This window comes from Homo sapiens, chromosome 9 (assembly GCF_000001405.40).
Source record: "Homo sapiens chromosome 9, GRCh38.p14 Primary Assembly".
Taxonomy (NCBI): Eukaryota; Metazoa; Chordata; class Mammalia; order Primates; family Hominidae; genus Homo; species Homo sapiens.
In genome coordinates, this window is record NC_000009.12 from 119,416,173 (window position 1) to 119,436,278 (window position 20,106).

Consider the following 20,106-nt stretch of genomic DNA (forward strand, 5'->3'; position numbering starts at 1 on the left):
CAGCAGCTCCTGCACATGAATATGAATTCTGAAGTATTTCAGAGAACTTCCTTAGAAAGATACAGGCCCCAAATTAGGCATGGAGTAAATTGTTTATGCTCAACAGTCAAAGATCCCCAACGCTGCTTACTACTCTGGTTTCACTGACTTTCTAACCTTCATGATTTGGACATTACCTATTTCCTTCTGAGCTGGACACGAGACCATGGGCTGCCTAAACATGTAGCTCCTTCTACAAACATCCTGTTCAGTGGACTTTAAGTATCCCTTTAATTATTTTGGTGTATTAGTGTAGTTTCCAATGTTCCAGATAGTGCTGCTACAAACATCCTAGTACCCATAAATGTATTTCTGGCCTTACACCAACTAAATCTCTGTATTCCATTTGATCTAAATGTTGGAGCTTATGAGGACCAAGCTGCATGCACATTCTCCTTCTAGCAAGCAGGAAAATGGGCATACGCTTGCATGCAAGTTGTATTCCTTTATTGCATCTGACAAGGAGCAAACTCTGGAAGAAGTTAAACCTGGTGGCTAGTTACTATCACAAGGATCACCTCAGTGTCAATTAGATTAAGCAGAAAGAGCCTGTTTTGGCATTTGCTTACCTCTTAGACAGAGTCCTAAATTATCCCCATTTAACAGGTGAATTTAGGGGATGTTTTTACTGTTCACTCAACTGCAGGCCTATCAGAATGTACTTTTATTCAATAATGAGGACATTTCTTGTTTGCAGAGTAGTTTCTAATTTAGGAGGCAGTTGTTACAAGTGTTTGTAAATGTAATATGCACACCCTTGCATATTTTTATCAGTACTCCCTATGCTGATTTTACAGACCAGGAAACAGGCTCAGAGGTGCAGCTGTTGCCCAAGATTACAAGCCAGGCATTTTATGTAGTTCCAGTGGCCATAAGTGTCCTTTTAAAGACTAAAGCAAGGTATTTTGGCTTGCCTTTTGCCTAAAACAAGCTATGTATCTGGGTGCCTACATAATTCTGTAGACAAGGAGATTATCTGGTGATTCTTACCCTAAAGAAAAAAAAAATGGGGCTCAAGTCATCTCTCTCATGCTACACAGAAATGTGGGTCCTTCATCAGCCACCCAATTATCTCTCAGCAGCTATTTGTATGCCAGGATGGCCCTATGACATCCTTTAAGAACAAGTTAAAGGGAAACTGCAAATATACAAACTATAGTCCATCAAAATTAGGCTGAACTACCTGATCCTACATCCTTAATTCCCCAAGTCCCATTACTTCTGGTACTTAGTTTTAGAAGCCACCTTTCTCAACTTGAGCTTTCTTTCTTTTCTGAATCTTAGTAATTGATCGAGCTTTACCCTTGACTGTGCCCATGTCTCCCAAGGAATGTTCCACTTCTCTGGTAAGCATCCGGGTTTGAGCTTTGCCAGCCTCTACTCTTCTGCCTGTTAACAGACTGGGGAAGACTTTCTTTTTTTTTTTTTTTTTTTTTTTTGAGACGGAGTCTCGCTCTCTCACCCAGTCTGGAGTGTAGTGGCGTGATTTCGGCTCACTGCAAGCTCTGCCTCCGGGGTTCATGCCATTCTCCTGCCTCGAGGTTGGGGAAAAGTTAAGTCTCTTCTCTGTGAGAAAATTTCGGTTCTGCTTACAACTATCCCTTCTGTCTACACCTTTGGTGAAGTGGGTTGCCTTTCTGTTTGATGAGAGCAAAGTTTGATTTTCTAATTTTTCCAATGGGATGACTGTGGTATCCTTTCCATTTGGTATCTAAAATAGAAGATTTGCTCTTTGACCAAAAACTGAATTATTGATATCAAGGATTGGCAAACTTTTAAATAAAAGGCCCAGATAGTAAATGTTTTAGGGTTTTTTGAGCCATTTGATGTCTGTTACAGCAACACAACTCTGCCATTGTAGCATAAAAGCAATCATACACAATATGTAAATGAACGAGTATGTTTGTGTCCCAATGAGATTTACAAAAACAGGCAATAGGCCAGACTTGGCTTGCAAGCCATTGTTTTCAGACCCCTACTCTATAGGACCAATTCTGTTTAGAGAATCCTACTACCAATTTACCACAAGCCAGAATATTCCAAAGATTCGTTAGAACATCTGATATTTGACAGCAGGGTCGAATGGCCATGTTAATTTCTCTTCATCTCTCAATCTCACATGATAGGTAGCAGGCTGGGTCAATAAAGCTTCAGCATGATTTTTCTACATTGATTTTAAAGGGGAAGAAATGTTAAGGGCAATATAGGGTAAGGAGAAATTTAAGATGCTTTGAGCTGCAATGAGAAAGCTTGACTAAGTGGCTTACCCAAAAAGACTTCTATGATTCATATAATTAGACTAGAATCAGTTGACCTCAGGAATGGTAGAGTGGCTCTAAGCTTGTCTTCAAGGACACAGGAATTTATTTGCTCTGCCATCCTCACCATATTAGCTTCTCATTGGCTTCTCATCTGTCACCTCCTAATTGCAGGATTGAGGTAGAACCTCCAAGTGTCACATCCTCACAGGTCTGTGTCCAAAGTATGAAGGGAGGGAATTGAGCAAAGGACCATCCCCCTATGTAGATTTATCTTTTATGAGAAATTAAAATGTTTCCCCAAGAGTTCTCCCAAAAGACTTTGCCTCATATTAGCCAGAATTAGATGACATTCTCACCTCTAACCAGTCACTGGAAAAAAGAATAGGGATGGCTCAATGGTCTAGAACAATTATGATTCATCCTCTATGACTATGTACATTCTCCTGAATGAAACTGGGTGTTGTATTCAAGGAAGCAGGGGAGGAGGAGGAAGGGATGTGGGGATGGCTGATGGGTAGACACCTAAGGTTTCAGACTACAAAGAATGAGGAAAATGCCAAAACCCTCTGTGAGGGTTGTGGCATGCAGGGCCTGCTGGGTGGTATGAGGGTGAGGTATTACCTTGAATTCGAGCTCTGTATAAAACATGATTCTCAGTCACAGTGGTTCTCAAACATTAGTATTCCCAAGAATCACCAGGGGCCCTTGTTGAAATGCAGTGTCCCGGACCCCTTCTCTAAGAATTTGGATTAAATAGTGCTAGAGCAGGCCAGGAATACATTTTTGAACAAGTCCTCCAGGAGACGTTGATCTCCAGGAGATGAAGCAAGTAGTCTGCTGCTCATATTGTGGGAATCAATCACTGAATGATCTTGAAGCTTTGAGAGTGATGCATAGGATAGAAACAACAGTCATTTTAAACTTCCAGTTTTTCTTAAGAGCAAAGATGCAAATATGTAAATACTAGGGGCACAGAGCTGCCCTTTGTGCTGAGACAGAAGTAGGATTGGGCCTCTTTGACCACAAGACTGTTAAGCCAAGATGCCTCCTATCAAGTTTATCTCCTAGTATGCATATATAGAGCTGCAAGGCTTAATATGAAATCAAGAGAATGTATGTAAACATAGTTTCTAAGCTATCTTATATTTCACATAGACTCCAGAGAAGCTTGAGTTTGATCCTTAATATTATGAATTTGGACAATAGCCTAAACCTCTGAGCTTCAGTGTCTACTTAAGTGAAACAGAGAAAAAAATTTTCTATGTCATATCATAGGATGATATCTTAAAAATTATTGAGAAAAAATATTCATGTAAGTAAATTATCATGGTGCTGGGAACCTCTAAATATTCAATAAATGCTAGCACTCATTACCATCTTTGTCTTCATCATATTGGTAGTAGTGGTGATGGTTTTATTAATATTTACACATGTTTGTAGTTATTAAGATTACCTTAGCAATTTTCTCATTTGCAGATGTGAAACGGGTACCAGCTATGTAAAATAACTTGTCAAATTTACTAAATTAGTTGGCTGAATTGAGTCTTGAGCCCAACTTGATTCTTGATTTTGTAATCAAGTTTTCTAATAATCTACATGCTAAATTCATAATAAGCAAATGTGACCCAGTTTCCTGGCACAAGTTAAGAAAGCACCCAACTCTAGGGAAGACTGTTTTATTTCAGCCCCCACATTTTCCTTCTCTCTCTCTTTCTCTTTCTCTCTTTCTTTCTCTCTCTTTCTCTGTCTGTCTCTCTCATCAACTTGTGCCCTGACCATTATGCAGAAGGCTTACTAGGGTAATTAAAAAGGGGAGTCAAGGTGCTTATTTGTGGGACCAGGAGACAAGTCGATGTGGCTCAATCTGCTGGGAATTGACTGCAATCAATTTCTTCAATGGCCTGTCCAAAGCTGTAGTTGTAAAGCATTCAGTGGGCTGATCAATGGTGGCCTTGAGTGCAGCTGGAGGGAGAGACAAAGCAGTGGCAGCAGCCCGGGCAGTCTGCAATCAGCAGGCCAGCCCAAGTCCAAGGTCAGCCTCCAGATCCTTTTCCCATCTCTATACAGCTCCCTGTCAGAAGTGTCAGAACAAGATGGGGCAGCTGAAAACACATGAGAAACATTCCTGGAAGCTCTGGAGAAAAGAAAACTCATTTGCTAAAGATAATAAAAATAATAATAATCTCATATTCATCATCATAACCATAATGGCAGTGGTTGTAATAATGACAGGGCACCTGATTTTATCTTCTGCTCTCTGAACGTGAAAGTACATCTCTATATCCAAATGAAAGTCATTTAAGGGCCATAGTTTTGCAGCAAATGGAATTCATCACATTTAATAAAATGCTAATTGATGCAGAGGAAGGAAGGCTAGTCTTTCTAGTTTTGTACATTTGTTCAGGCAATAAAGAAATAGTCAAGCATTATGATGTTATAGCTCCTAGTATGAATTGCATCTTGCACATAGTAGGTGCTATTTTTTTAAATATGCAAGGCACTGTGTTATGTATTGTTTATAAATGAGAAATAAATAAAATACGCCCCCTGCTCTCAAGAAATTCACATTCTAAAAGTGGCATGAGTTTAAATGTGGAGTTACGGTGATAAAGATATGAACCAATTTATTAATGAGAAAGAGGAAGGATGGATTAATTCTGATGGGGTTAGGAAGCGAAATGGATGGGGGGTACCTTGAGCTCTGATTTGAAAATTTGATATAATTTCTCTTGGTAGAAAAAAAAACATTCAAAGCAGAGAGAAAAGCACAAAGCTAAGAGAGTATACAGCAAGTTTTCTCGGTGGCAAGTAGTCTCTTGTGCTTAGTATACTGGGTGCTTGAAGAAAAAGTTACCAAAAAAATCTGAAAAAGTGGGTAGGAGCTTAGAAGAGAAGGGTTCTTGTTTTACGCAAAAAATTTATGTATCATCTTTGTTCATCCATTGACCAATGGAAACAGCTAAAATTTCTTCATAGAAGAACGTCCAGTTCTTATCTGAAGTTGTATCTTTTTAACAGAAGAGAGAGAAGTCAACAAATTATAAAGAACAGACAATATGACCGAGGCTCTTAAGAGCACTGATTTTGGAATCAGAGAGATCTGGCTTAAATCCTGGTTCTGTCCTTTCGAGCTAAGTGACAATGGCAGGTCAATTAACCTTCTTGAGGCTCAATTTCTTCATCTATAAAATGGGGACAAAATGCCTCTCTATTGGGTAGTTGTGAGAGTTGAATACAATATTTTAGCAGAGTCCTTGGCATCCTATAAGATTTTGATAGATGTTACATGCCATTATTATTAACTTCAAATACCTTCTCCATGTTTCCTTTCTGAACCTTTCTTCCACTTCTTTTGACATCTCTTTGAATACTTTAGTACCTTGAATTAATTTTAGACATAATGATGGACTATTATAAGAGCTATTTTGGTTTGGAGGGACTTTCCCCTCACCTTTCTGAATACACCACCAGCTGAATATCATATATCATATAAAGAAAGGTTAAGGGAGATGAGAAAATGTGGAAGAGCATGCAAACTATCTTCATGTATTCTAAAAGCTGCCATTCTTCAAACGAATGAGACTTAACCCTGTTTGGCTTCAATTGTAAACATTTGGCTAGTAGGAAAAGTCACAGAGAAGTTTGCTTTATTTTAATGAAGATAAGTTTAATGACTGAGGCTGTCTGCCAATCAAATGTGCTAAATTCTATGAGAGTGAGTTCCCCATCACTGGAAAGATTCAAGTTGAGATTGGTGACTGCAAACGGTATTTTTTTAGCTGGAGACTAAGTTAAAGTCTCCAGGGCCCTTTTATTAAAACCGTGGAGTCATCAACTCAATGTAAATAATGTAACCCATCTATAAATGTGTTCGAGTTTATAAATGAGAGGTTTGATGTAGTAGGGCATGCATACAGAAAGCTAGGGGCCAAATCCAGTCTGAAGATGTATGTCTGTTTTCCAGAATAGTGGCAGACCGTGTTATTTCCAGTTCACTCCAGTTCAAACCATTCCCTATTGTCTTACCCTGGTGAATATTATCTATTTGCTTTAACTGCCTGACCTTGTATGATAAGAACTTAAAGTCAAGAGACTCAGTTCTGTTCCCTGGCTCTGCCAGTGTTTTGCTCTGTTACTTTGGGTTAACAATTTCCCTATCTAAGCCTCAGTGCCTTGTCTGTAAAATATGGGAGTTGGACTCAGTAACTAAGGTCTTTGTCTGCTCTACATTCTGAGATTTATTATCATGAGAAGAAAAACTCACTCTAAAGACCTTTTTTTCTTCTGAAAAAAGCAATGACTTTCTCTGAACTCCTAGAGAGCTGTGAATGTGTATGTTGTCATTTCTAAGAAATGTAATTTGTAATCATTAATAAAAACGGATGAATCTGCCATCAGTCTTCTTGGATATTCCTGGTTTCCCAAGTTATTCCAAATAATTAAAATGAGATGAAAATATCCAAATATTGCCAATGTGTTCTCTGCTGAGATAAATGCTTTATGATGTTTGGACTCAAAATAGTGAAAGTCTCTGTTTTTTTTAACTGAACCAATTTAACTAGTGAAGGTTGGTTTGTTGGCTGTTACCACTTTTGTTACTGTTGTTCCCCTAGAGATACTAATAATTAAAAATATGAGGGAAATGACCAGAAAAAAAAAAAAAAAGAGACAAATCTCAAAGACTAATAAAAAAGTTGCGGGGAGGGGAAGGCAGTAACTGCCTGGGAACATGGTGCATGGATTCTGAAGCTTTATGTGTGAGATTCTTTTGCTCTGAAGAGCAACTCAACTGTGTCGATGGAGTCTGTTTACTAATTGTTTGACTCTGGGTGCTCACCCTGCCCTCATTACAATAAAGTCCTTCTTATCTGATGAGATTGAGATCTGTAATTGTAGGTTAATGAAAAGTCAGCTAAAACAGAAGTGGGCTAGAACGCTCAGGACCAGTATACCAACTAAGAGTCTAACTTACAGAGGACATTATTCATATTTCCAAAGGAAATGGAAAGCATCCAGAAATTGATTCATTGAGAAGTCAAAGATGATCATGTTAAAACAATTTAAAAATATAGAAAATCAAATAAATAAAGATACATGCCTAAATCCATTCAGAGACAATTGGTATTTTGGTATAAATCTATACAAGTTGGTATAAATACTTTTGGTACAAATACTTATAGAACTTTCTCTTTGCAGATATTTTTACTTATATAGTTTACTTATGTAATACATAATATATTTTGTAATATATGTAAAGTAATATAACATATATAATACGATTGATATTTGAACAATGTGGGGATTGGGGCACCTGACCACTGTGAAGTGAAAAATCCATGTATAACTTTGACTTCATCAAAACTTAACTACTAATAGCCTACTGTTGACAAGAAGCCTTACCAATAACAAAAACAGTCAATTAACCCATATTTTGTACGTTATATGTATTATATATTGTATTCTTACAATAAAGTAAGCTACAGAAAAGCAATGTTATTAAGAAAAATCATAAGGAAAAGCAAATATGTTTACTACTCACTATGTGGAAGTGGATCATCATAAAGGTCTTCATTCTTGTAGTCTTCACATTAAGTAAGCTACAGAGGAGGAAGAGGTGGAGTTGGTCTTGCTGTCTCAGTGGTGGCAGAGATGGAACAGGTGGAGGAGTTGGAAGGGGAAGCAGGAGAGGCAAGCACATTCAATGTAAACTTAACTGAAAAAAATCCACGTAAAAGTGGACCCACTTTTCAAACTCATGACCCTACAGTTGAAAGGTCAACTGTGTATGTAAACAGCTAATACAATTCAATTGCTTTATAACGTACATTTCATTGTCATAAGCATCCTTTAATAGTACTAAATACAAACACATATTATAATTTTATCAGCAATTTTATTTCCCCATTTCAAACTCCAGTTATTCCCAGTGTCACCTATGGCACACTTCTATTTTTTCAAGATTTCTACAAAGGACCTGCATTAATTTTATACTTTTAAGCACATAATTAGTTACATAATTATGTGCTTAAAATATAAAAACAGAAAAACTAAAAACACAAACGTACTAGTAAAGGAAAAGCATAATTAGAGATTAACAGTAAAATGTATTTGGAAATCAACCATTCCTGGCTTTCAAATTTCAAACTGCCCCTATGAACTGTGTGATACTGGACAAGTTAACTAACCCATCTGACTGAGCTTCAATCATTCCATCAAAAATAAGGGAAACAAAATAAATGTCTGAAGGTTGTTGGAAGGATTACAGAAACTAATGCTTATGCAGTGCTTTGCACAGACTGGGTACATAATAAGTAGTTAACATACGGTAATATCATCATCATCAAGTTCAATGCTTTATCTGATTTTGAAAAAAATATACGTTAAAGCAATTTTTTGCATGGCAAAAAATTTCACTTTGTGTTCTGAAATTCCTGATAACAATACTTAAGAATGTCCCTTCACTCTTAGATATCATGTGTAGGGATGTTCCCTTCCATTTAAAGAATATATTTTTTCACAAATATAAGTAGCTATGACACTTTGAGTCCATGGTTGGTTAAGAACTATTTAGGATGATTTACAACAATAATACAAATTCAAACAAATAGCCGGGGACTCAATTTTGCTAATGTTCCTGCAAGGGAAGAAACGTTGCCCCTATATTTTATTTTTAATGAAATATATTTATATTTATTGAGATATTATTAACAATATTATTCCACAATTCACCCAATTTAAGTACAAAATTTAATGGGTTTTAGTATATGCACAGGGTTGTGCAACCATTACCATGATCAATTTAAGAACATTTTCATCACCCCCAAAGGAAGCCCATACCTATTAGAACTCACTCCTCATTTTCTCCATCATTTTGAGGAACGGTTAGACTATTTTCCAAAGTGACTGTACCATTGTACATTTCCAACAGCAGTGTGTGAGGATTTCAATTTCTCCACATATTTGCCAGCATTTACTATCTTTTTTAACTATAAACATCCTAGAGTGTGTGAAGTGATATCTCATTTTGGTTTTAATTTGCATTTATTTAATGGTTAATTATGTTGAGCATCTTTTCTTGTGCTTATTGGCCATTTGTATATCTTCATTGGAGAAATGTAAATTTGTATCTTTCACCCACTTTTAAATTGGATTGTCTTTTAATAATTGAATTGTAAGCGTTCCTTATGTATTCCAGATACAAATCCCTTATCAAATGTATGATGTGCAAATATTTTCTCCATTCTGCAAATTGTCTCTTCACATTCTTCATGGTGTCCTTGGAAGCGTAAAGGGTTTTAGTTTTGATGAAATACAATTTATTTTGTCACTTGTGCCTTTAATGTTGTGTTTAAGAAATTATTGACTAATCTAAGGTCACAAAGATTTATTCCTATGTTTTTTCTAAGAGTTTTGTGGTTTTAGTTCTTATATTATGGCTATGATCTATTTTGGTTAATTTATGTGTATGGCGAGAGGAAGAGGCCCAGCTTCATTCCTTTCAATGTAGATATTCAGTCATCTTAGCACCATTTGTTGAAAGAACTATTGCTTTCCCCTACTGAATTGTCCTGGCACCTTTGTCAAACATCAACTATCCAAAAATATGATGGTTTATTTCTGGGCTCTCTATCCATTTATCTATATTTGTATCCTTATGCCTGATTACTGTCAGTTTGTGTTCAGTTTTAAAATTTAGAACATTGAGTTCTCTAGATTTTTTTTTTTGTCTTTCAAGATTGTTTTGCTATGCTGAGTCACTTGCATTTCAGTATGTATTTTAAGATCAGCTTGTCAATTTCTGTAAAAAAGTCCAGTGAAATTTTGATAAGGATTGCCTTAAATCTTGATCTATAGATCAGTCTTAACACTACTAAGTCTTTGAACTGAAAACATGTTTTGTCTTTTCATTTGTTTTTAATTTTTTATTTGTTAATGTGTCAACCTGTACTTACTTATGTACATATGGGTTTTGTTTTCCTATCTTATTTTGGTCTTTTTATCCTCCCATTAAAATACGAGATCTATGAAATCAGAAAATGTACCCATCTTGTTCATTGCTTTTTCATCAGCTTTCATCATAGATCCTGTTTCATAAAGCATGTTCAATAAGTATTTGTGAATTCAATTATTTGGTAAGACAAGAGATACCTAAAGTTTGCTCAGATAAAAAGTTATGACATTCTCTTGTAGTTGCTTTCCAGGAATAAAATTTTACTCAGAGAAATTCAAGACAATGGAAGGCAGAAACTCTCATGAACTCAACTTCCAGACCACATAGGAACTAGAATATTATCAGATGTCTGCATCCTCTCTCTTGCTCTTTGGGCTTACATAGCCTCCCATTCCTGCTTCTGCATATCCATATGTGCTAGTCTCTTGTCTAAGAACCAGTTTCTTTAGATTAACCATAGTCCGTCATAGCTACTCCAAAATGTGTTTTGACCCTTGAGATCATTGGCTCTTATAGCTTCAGTGCCCATGGCTGAGTCCCTTTTTCTGGTTAGTGATTTTAAATTCTAGAGAGAGGAAGTTTGATTGCTCCAAATAGTCAGTGGTGCTTCTCTGGGCCAGTTCTGACCAACAGGGCAGGGCTAGACAATACATAGACTCTTTCTCTACTCTTGGTCTATAAGCAACCAAAGTTGGGAGATTGCTAGCAGTTATATGACACATTTTAAATTTGGGGTTTAAAATTTAAGTTTTTTATTTAAATAATCCATGTGAATGAATGAACTCCCATTCACAATTGCTACAAAGAGAATAAAATACCTAGGAATATGGCTAACAAGAGATGTGAAGAACCTCTTCAAGGAAAACTACAACCCACTGCTCAAGGAAATAAAAGAGGACACAAACAAATGGAAAAACATTCCACCCTCATGGATAGAAACAATCAATATTGTGAAATGGTGATACTGCTCAATGTAATTTATAAATTCAATGCTATTCCCATCAAACTACCATTGACACCCTTCACAGAATTAGAAAAAAAAAACACTTTAAAATTCATATGGAACCAAAAAAGAGCCCACATAGCCAAGACAATCCTAAACAAAAAGAACGATGCTGAAGGCATCATGCTACCAGACTTCAAACTATACTACAAGGCTATAATAACCAAAACAGCATGGCACTGGTATCAAACAGACATATAGACCAATGGAACAGAATAGAGACCTCAGAAATAAGACCACACATCTACAACCATTTGATCTTCAACAAACCTGACAAAAACAGGCAATGGGGAGAAGATTCCCTATTTAATAAGTGGTGCTGGGAAAACTGGCTAGCCATATGCAGAAAACTAAAACTGGACCCCTTCCTTACACCTTATACAAAAATTAACTCAAGATGGAGTAAAGACTTAAATGTAAATCTCAAAACCATAAAAACCCTAGAAGAAAACCTAGGTAATACCATTTAGGATATAGGCATGGGCAAAGATTTTATGACGAAATCACCAAAAGCAATTGCAACAAAAGCTAAAATTGACAAATGGGATCTAATTAAACTAAAGAGCTTCTGCACAGCAAAAGAAACTATCGCAGAGCGAATAGGCAACCTACAAAATGGGAGGAAATTTTTGCAATCTACCCTTTGGACAAAGGTGTTATATCCAGAATTTACAAGGAACGAATTTACAAGAAAAAAAACAAACAACCTCATCAAAAAGTGGGCAAAGGATATGAACAGACACTTCTCAAAAGAAAACATTTACACAGCCAACAAACATATTTTAAAAAGCTCAACATCACTGATTATTAGAGAAATGTAAATCAAAACCACAATGAGATACCAGCTCATGTCAGTCAGAATGGTGATTATTAAAAAGTCAAGAAACAACAGATTCTGGAGAGGCTGTGGAGAAATAGGAACACTTTTACATTGTTGGTGAGAATGTAAATTAGTTCAACCATTGTGGAAGACAATGTGGTGATTCCTCAAGGATCTAGAACCAGAAATACCATTTGACCTAGTGATTTCATTACTGGGTATACACCCCAAGGAATATAAATCATTCTATTATAAAGATACATGCACACATATGTTTATTGCAGCATTATTCACAATAGCAAAGACATGGAACCAATCCAAATGCCATCAATGATAGACTGGATAAGAAAATATGGTACACATACACCATGGAATTCTATGCAGCCAGAAAAAGGGATGAGATCATGTCCTTTGCAGGGACATGGATGAAGCTGGAAGCCATCATCCTCAGCAAACAATCAGAAAAACAGAAAACCAAACACTGCATGTTCTTACTCATAAGTGGGGGTTGAAGAATGAGAACACATGGACACAGGGAGGGCAACAACACATTCCAGAAACTGTTGGGGGGTGGTGAGGAGAGAGGGAGCATCAGGGCAAACAGCTAATGCAAGTGGGGCTTAAAACCTAGGTGACGGGTTGATAGATGCAGCAAACCACCATGACCCATGTATACCTAGGTAACAAACCAGCACATTCTGCACATGTATCCCCAGACTTAAAGTAAAAAAATCAAAAATAAATTAATAGTAAAATAAATACATAAATAATCCATGTGAATGGTCAAGTTCACATGGATAGTAAGTGAGATTCGATTACCAGGTCTTCTTGCTCCCAATATACATAGTTATTCTGGGGAGAAATGGCATTCAGAATATCCTGTCCTGGGCCTTCAAGGTAGCACCCCTTTTATAAAGGGGTTTAATGTACTGGGAATGTGTTTCTGTTTCATGGACTTCTGTTTCACGTACTGGGAATCTGGCTACCATCCAGTTATGGGACATTCAGCTTAGAGAAGGTCTCTTGCCTCCTGCTGCTAAGGAAATTGCATTATTGGATTTTTAAATAAACCATTGGCCAGAATATCTAAGAGCCTTTCCTGCAGACCTTGACAGGTTTATTTTTTTTAAATTAAAAATCCTGGCCTAGGGCTAAATGAAAATGTCTTCAGATTTGCAATCGGTGTTTATGTTTCATATTTGAAATGTACGTTGGAAGCTGGAGTTTGATGTAACCTGATCCCGGGACTCCATTCAGCAGACTGCTGACTTCTTTGAATTTAGGTGTTTTTGATGGGAACCGTCCTTGGTCATCACCAGGAGGCAGGGAAGACACCCAATTACTCCAGTGTGTGATGGTCATGGTCATTTTCTTTCATCTTTCTCACAGACTGATTGCAGCTAGCCAGTCAAAATCCCCTACATAATTGAGAACACAAAGGGCATATGAAAGATCTGTAACTGTGTGTAAGACCTTCTTGCCCACTGATCTAAATCAGAAGAGAATATGAATGGGTCCACACACACTCCTATGACCAAGGGCACCAACAAATGTCAGCACCAAAGCAGCATCTTCAGAAAATGCATGAATAAGGGGTCCAGTTTATATTTTCAAATGTGACAAATTGCTCGAATAAGGCTGTTAGTTCACATTAAAATAATAGGCACACACAGCAATGCTTTGTTAGGATTTTTCATAAAAATGTTTCAATTTTACACACGTACCTCACCAGCTGTCACGAAGGTAATGCCTCAGGGCTTGAACTAACAAATGATTATCTTCCACTGTAGGAGGGTAAATAAAACCTAATGCATGTATTTACTTTATTTACTTGTTTATTAATACCAACAACTATTAACACAGGATTCTGAACAGTATTTTTTTTCTTTCCAGGTAAAAATTCAATTTTTCGTTTAAGCTTAAGTTAGAATGTTGAAGCACGGTAAAGGTTTTGGAGGTTCCTCTCCACATATACTCCAATCCCAAACTTCATCACTGTACAAATTTGAGAAGTGAGACTCAGAATGAAGCAACTTACCTCAATCCCTCCAATTAGTAAATAACCAAGTTAATACCCAAATTCTCATCCTCTATCTCCATATCCATTCCTGTTTTTATTATCTGTGCCATCTCTGATTTAAATCATTTCAACTCAAGGGCTTGCTCAAGGCCAGGCCCAGGGCTGGAAACTGGCCACAAACAGATAAATAAAACATAGTTCTGGCTGTCCAGGAGATCATGATCTAGGAAAGAAATAGAGAAATACTCATGACCTGATTGGAACAATAATTATGGGAGAAATTGAAAGAGTCACCAAAGAATTTCTTCCCTGAAAACTGCTGGTTTCAAACAATTTTTTTTCTTCTAGGTAATGTCTTTCCAACTTTAAAGGAAAAGATAATTCTTATACTTTATAAACTCCTCCAAGAATAGAGAAGGAGTGGAACAGCTATTTCATTCATGGTATGAAACCATCAAAAGTTGCCAAAAACAGCAGCAATAGACCTGAAGAGAAAGACTTTACAGGCTGTGTTTCCATCACGTAAACCAGCCCCAATCTTGGCAATGCTGAACAGACAAGATGTGGAGGCCTGAACCAAGGTCAGCCAATCCATCGCCTGGCAGTAATGATCAGTCTCTCTCTTGAGCAGTTAGACATAAAACCAGAGAGAAGATAGTGGGTGTATGTTAGATGTTAGCACTAAGAGGACAGGTATATGTTTAGCAGCCACTTGGCAGAAGAAAAATTCTTCTAAGAAAAAGAGGATGGAGACAAGGAGAGATTAGAGACACAAGAAATGGAGGGAAACAAAATATCATAGAGTATCATATAGCTTCTAAAAGCCAGAGAGAGTGGCTTTGGTTTCTAGCGGCTTCCTACCTCCAGTTCTCATTAAACCAGGTTGTATCAGATTCCCGCTTCTACAGCATTGCCTGATGGTGTGCTTTCAGTCACAGCCCCTCTGCCACACAGACCAGATGCATTCATTATTCCTGTGCTATATTACAGAGGTCTCCATTCTTTGCAATAAAGATGGCTTTGCTTGAATGATAATTGCTGAAAATGAGAAGACAAAATTATCATTCTTTATAAAAATATATATGTTGATATCTAGAACACTCAAGAGAATCAACTGAACAACTATTAAAACTAATAAGAGAGTACAGAAAAGAGACTGGTTACAGGATAAATACACCAAAATAATAGCATTTTTCTTCACTGGCAATAACTAGTTGGGAAGTATGATTTTAAAATATCTTATTCACAATAGCAACAGAAAACATAAAATGCCTATGAATAGCTTTAACAAGAAATATGTAAGATGCTTATGAAGAAAACCACAAAACCTTACAGTGAAATATAAAAAATACTTGGCTAAATGGGAAGATAAACAGTGTTCCTGGGCAGAAGGCCCAATTATGAAAGGAGAGTAGTTTCTTCTAAATTAACTTACAGATGTATCAGATTTTCCAACCATCTTAACAGGACTTTTAAAAAACTTAATGAGGTAATTCTGAAATTCATCCACAATAATAATAGGTAAAAATAGCTGTCAGTTATAAAAATAATTATTAGAAAGATGTACTCTCATATATTATACAGCGTAAATAATTTTAAAATAACATTATGTTTTTGGTATAAGAATAGAAATTTAATACAACATTGAGATAATATCACAAATCTATTGAAGAAATATTATTAGATTGTTTTATTTATTTATTTTTTTGAGACGGAGTCTTGCTGTGTTGCACAGGCTGGAGTGCAATAGTGTGATCTTGGCTCACTGCAACCTCCGCCTCCTGGCCTCAAGCAATCCTCCCACCTCAGTCTCCTGAGTAGCTGAAAGTACAGGCACCCATCACCATGTCTGGCTAATTTTTGTATTTTTTCTAGAGACAGGGTTTTGTCATGTTGCCCAGGCTAGAAATATTATTTTTAATACATGGTTATGAGCCCTTTTACCCAAAGATGAAGCCTTGGGTTGCAGGGAAACATTCCCCAATACTGTCTACTTGAAAGAATTACAGATTTATAAAAGAATTAAATGTAATATTTAAAAGCAAGAAGGAATATTGATAATTGATTATATTGAGGGGTAATTGGAAAGAGGGTAATTTTAATTTTAAAAAGTAAGAAATTATATAAAAAGAAAGATTAGATGCTACTATATGAAAATATAAAGTAGCTTTACCTAAACATCAAAGGTAAAATTGAAATACTATGGGGGAAAACTGGAAAATTTTTAAACAAATGTAACAGAATAAGAGTTATTCTTAACATATAAAGAAAATTTATGCAATGCATTCAGATTCTAACTGATAAACAGGCTATAAAATGCCATGAAGAGGCATTCACAAAAGAGGAAATACAAATGCTGAATAAGCATATGTTTTAAAAAGGCAACCTCGCTAGCAATTAAATAAACGCAAATTAAAACAATGAGTTATTATCCTCACCTCTCAAATTAGCAAAACTAGAAAAAAAAAAAATCTCCAAACAGGGATCTGTGAGATAAGCACACTTCTCTGCTGCTGGGAATATAAATTTCTGCATCACTTGAAATAGCAGCTGAACAATTGCATCTGAAGATAAATACATTCAAATATTTTAAAGCTATTTATAAGATGCAAAGAGGCCGAGCATGGTGACTCAGGCCTGTAATCCCAGCACTTTGGGAGGCTGAGGTGGGCGGATCACCTAAGGCCAGGAGTTCGAGACTGGCCTGGCCAACATAGCGAAACCCCATCTCTAATAAAAACACAAAAATTAGCTGGGCATGGTGGCACACACCTGTAATCCCAGCTACTCAGGAGGCTGAGGTAGGAGAATTGTTTGAATCCAGGAAGCAGGGGTTTCAGTGAGCCGAGATTGCATCACGCCACTGCACTCCAGCCTGGGTGACAGAGCAAGACTCCATTTCAAAAAAAAAAAAAAAAAAGGTGCAAAAATAATTTGTAACATAGACAAAATACTCATATATATACATTGCAGACATTTGTTTGTGCACCACATGTGCACATGTTTTAATAATAGCCTAATCAGAACCAAAAACATACTCAAATAAGAGTATTGATTAATTAAAATGGTAGTACATTTATATGATGGAAATTAGAGTACTCATTGTAAATTAGATTTGGGGAGGTTTTTTATTATTATAATAGCTTTATTGAGGTATAATTTTTGTAACATAAAATCTACCTATTATAAGTATGAAATTCATTTTTTTTAGTAAATTTATAGAGTTGGGCTACCACCAACACAATCTATTTTTATCCTATTTATATCACCCGAAATATTTTCTTGTGGATTTTTGCAGTTAATCCCTCTTGCACCCTCAACCTACTGATTGGTTTTTTGTTTCTACAGAGTTGCCATTCTGGATATTTCATACCAATGGAATTATATGCTATATGGTCTTGAAGGATTCTTAATTTTAAAAAAGTCTACATCAATACTGTATTTCCAAAATTATGAATATTCCTCCATACAAGTTACGACCTCAACTAAGTTAACACAGCAACAAAACTTGCTCAAATGTTAAACCATTATGAGTGATTTTTGCCTGGAAGACAAAATTATAAAGGATTTTCAAAGCACTTTTTGCATTTTTAAATACAGAAATTCTCTGTGTAAGAGAATATATACATATTAGATTTATCATAAGGGACAAATAAGGGAGAAATAGGAAAATCATTTTCCTATAATGGAATAAGTGCTTTGACAGAGGTCATTGCTTTGAGAGAAACACATCTGTCTTGAGAAGTCAGGAAGGAAACATTTAAACTGGAGCTTGCAAAAGCTGGTTTTGTGGGGGAAGAGTGTGTGGAAGGGCATTCTGAGCAGCACCAACTTCTCTAACAAGAATACAAATTTAGAGAATTAAACACTACTATGAAAGATGCAAAGATAATGATAAATTATTTTCTAACTGGGGAGAAAAATATCCAAAAAAAAAAAAAAAAAACTGGTAGTTTACGCAAAGGGAGAAATGAGTAATTACCCAGTAAGCCATGAGATTTGGGGATAAATTTGAGATGTGGGAGGAACAAAGCAAAACCAGACTCAGGAAATAACATTGATCTCCCAGTTTACTACTCTCCTCCCAGATTTCCAACCTATTCATTCATGTAATCCCATCCACATTTTAATGTGCAATACTTTGTCTGACCCTTTCTCCAATTCCTCTGTATTTCTCGCTCTCCACAAGCCATTCTAACAGGGACAAAAAGAATAAAATCACTGTTTATCCAACTCTGGTAAACTCTGGGATCACTAGTTCTTTCAACAGAACACCAAACTACTAAATTTAGGATAAAAATGCTGCTATGATTTCAAGACATTTGGCTTGTGCCTTTTTTGAAACCTTCCCATCTGAGAAGGGAAGGCGATTTTACATAAAAGGTAACTGAGAAACTCATCGGCCCAATTATATGCTGCCTTAATTCACTAACAATCCCCACGTAAGACATTCTGTTTCCCTATGTAAGACATTGTGCTTGATGACACAGGATATGGGAACGGAGGGATAACAAAGAATCTTCACTTCAATAAATTTATAATATAAATGACTGTGTCTCAAATTTGCCTCCCTGTGTAATCACCAGGGAAGCTTTAAAAAATACTGATGCTCAGATCACATTTCCTAGAAATTACGATTAATTTAGTTAAGGGTGTGGTCTCGCTATCAGAAATTTTAAAAGCTCCCCAGGTGATTCTAATGGACAGCCAAGTTTGGAAACTCCTATCTAAAGGAAGTAAGACAAAACATTTAATTATAAAATAGCCTTGATCACATCACTTTCCGAATCAAATCCTTAAGAGCTTCTTTACTGCCTGTGGACACAAGTCCAAACTCCTATTTGCCATTTAAGGCCCTATTCAAGCCTATGTAATCTAGCACCCCCTAAATCTTATTCTCCTAAGTCTTCCCCACTGGAAGGTCAGAGCATTCCTGACTCAGCTCCAGAAACAGGAAATAGGCTGATTTCTGCCAACTCAAACTGATTGCTACAGGCTACCAGGGGAAGTGTGTTTTAAAAGATCCTGAGGCTCCCACAATGTTTAACAGAAAAAAAAAATTGCCATGATCTATTAGTAATGTCTGCCATGCTTAGGTAATGGAAAAGGGCAGTATGAGTGGTAGACATTTGCCATGCTGGCATTATTCCTTTGCTTCCCTGTGTCCTGAGTCTCGGAATGTCCTCTAGATCATCCTTCAAAGCTTAGCACAGTGACCTTTCCTCCTTGAAGTCTTCCTGTTGTCCTCCAAATTCTCCCTACCTTGGCTGAGAGGGTTCATCAAGCCTTCCTCTGAATCTCCGTTAGCACTCTGTTGTCACATTTTCTGTAGAAATCAATATCAGCTTGTGTGTATGTCTCAGATACTTTAAAATATGGTTTTCAAACTTTCACTTGCATTAGACTCGCCTGGAAATTTTGTTAAAAGACATCCAGAGTTTCTGATTCAGTAGCAGGGGGGAAGGGCTCAAAAATTTGCACCTCTAACAAGATCTCAGATGATGCTGAAGATGCTGGCCTGAGTACCACACTTTGAGAACGACCATTCTTTTAAATTATAATATTTTAGAAGGCCTGTTGCAAACTTGTCTTTATCTCTGCATTCCTTTTAGCAATACCCTGAACATAGTAGATACTTATTTCCATGGAGTTAAACCACAGTAATCTAAGACAGATGATAAGTGTGAAGTGATAGGTGCAGACACAGGATAAAAGAAATCATGCTGGTTTGGAATAATTTTTTAAAAATCATAGTTGACATTGTGTGTTGGACAGGAGTAGAATAGGGATGAATGCTGGCTCAGTATCTGGACCGGGGTCACAGAGAAGGGGAAGCATTTTAGAAAGATGCCAGAGGTAATAACCTAGAGACACACTTAGTTACTGTCTTCATCATTATCAAGCAAGAAGCCTCTGAACTGACTGTGAATTTAGTACGCAGGAAAAGAGCCCTGAAATTGTGATCAAAGGAGACAAATGGGTAGCCAAAGGCAGGAGAAGCAATGAAGGCAG

At 36.6% G+C, this 20,106-nt stretch overlaps 1 long non-coding RNA gene across 2 annotated transcripts in view; it reads right to left on the bottom strand.

Moving 5' to 3' along the window:
* Positions 1-7,839: 7,839 nt before the first annotated feature.
* Positions 7,840-20,106, bottom strand: part of LOC105376250 (uncharacterized) — a 100,071-nt gene continuing 87,804 nt past the window's right edge. The window contains exons 2-4 of one of the 2 annotated variants that reach the window (XR_930305.2): positions 14,956-15,132; positions 14,113-14,317; positions 7,840-7,897 (exon numbers count right to left, since the gene is read on the bottom strand). This is a non-coding gene — a long non-coding RNA (uncharacterized LOC105376250). Of the gene's footprint in view, positions 7,898-13,964; positions 14,318-14,955; positions 15,133-20,106 lie in introns of those variants that run through there. The other variant, XR_930304.2, reaches the window with a different exon arrangement.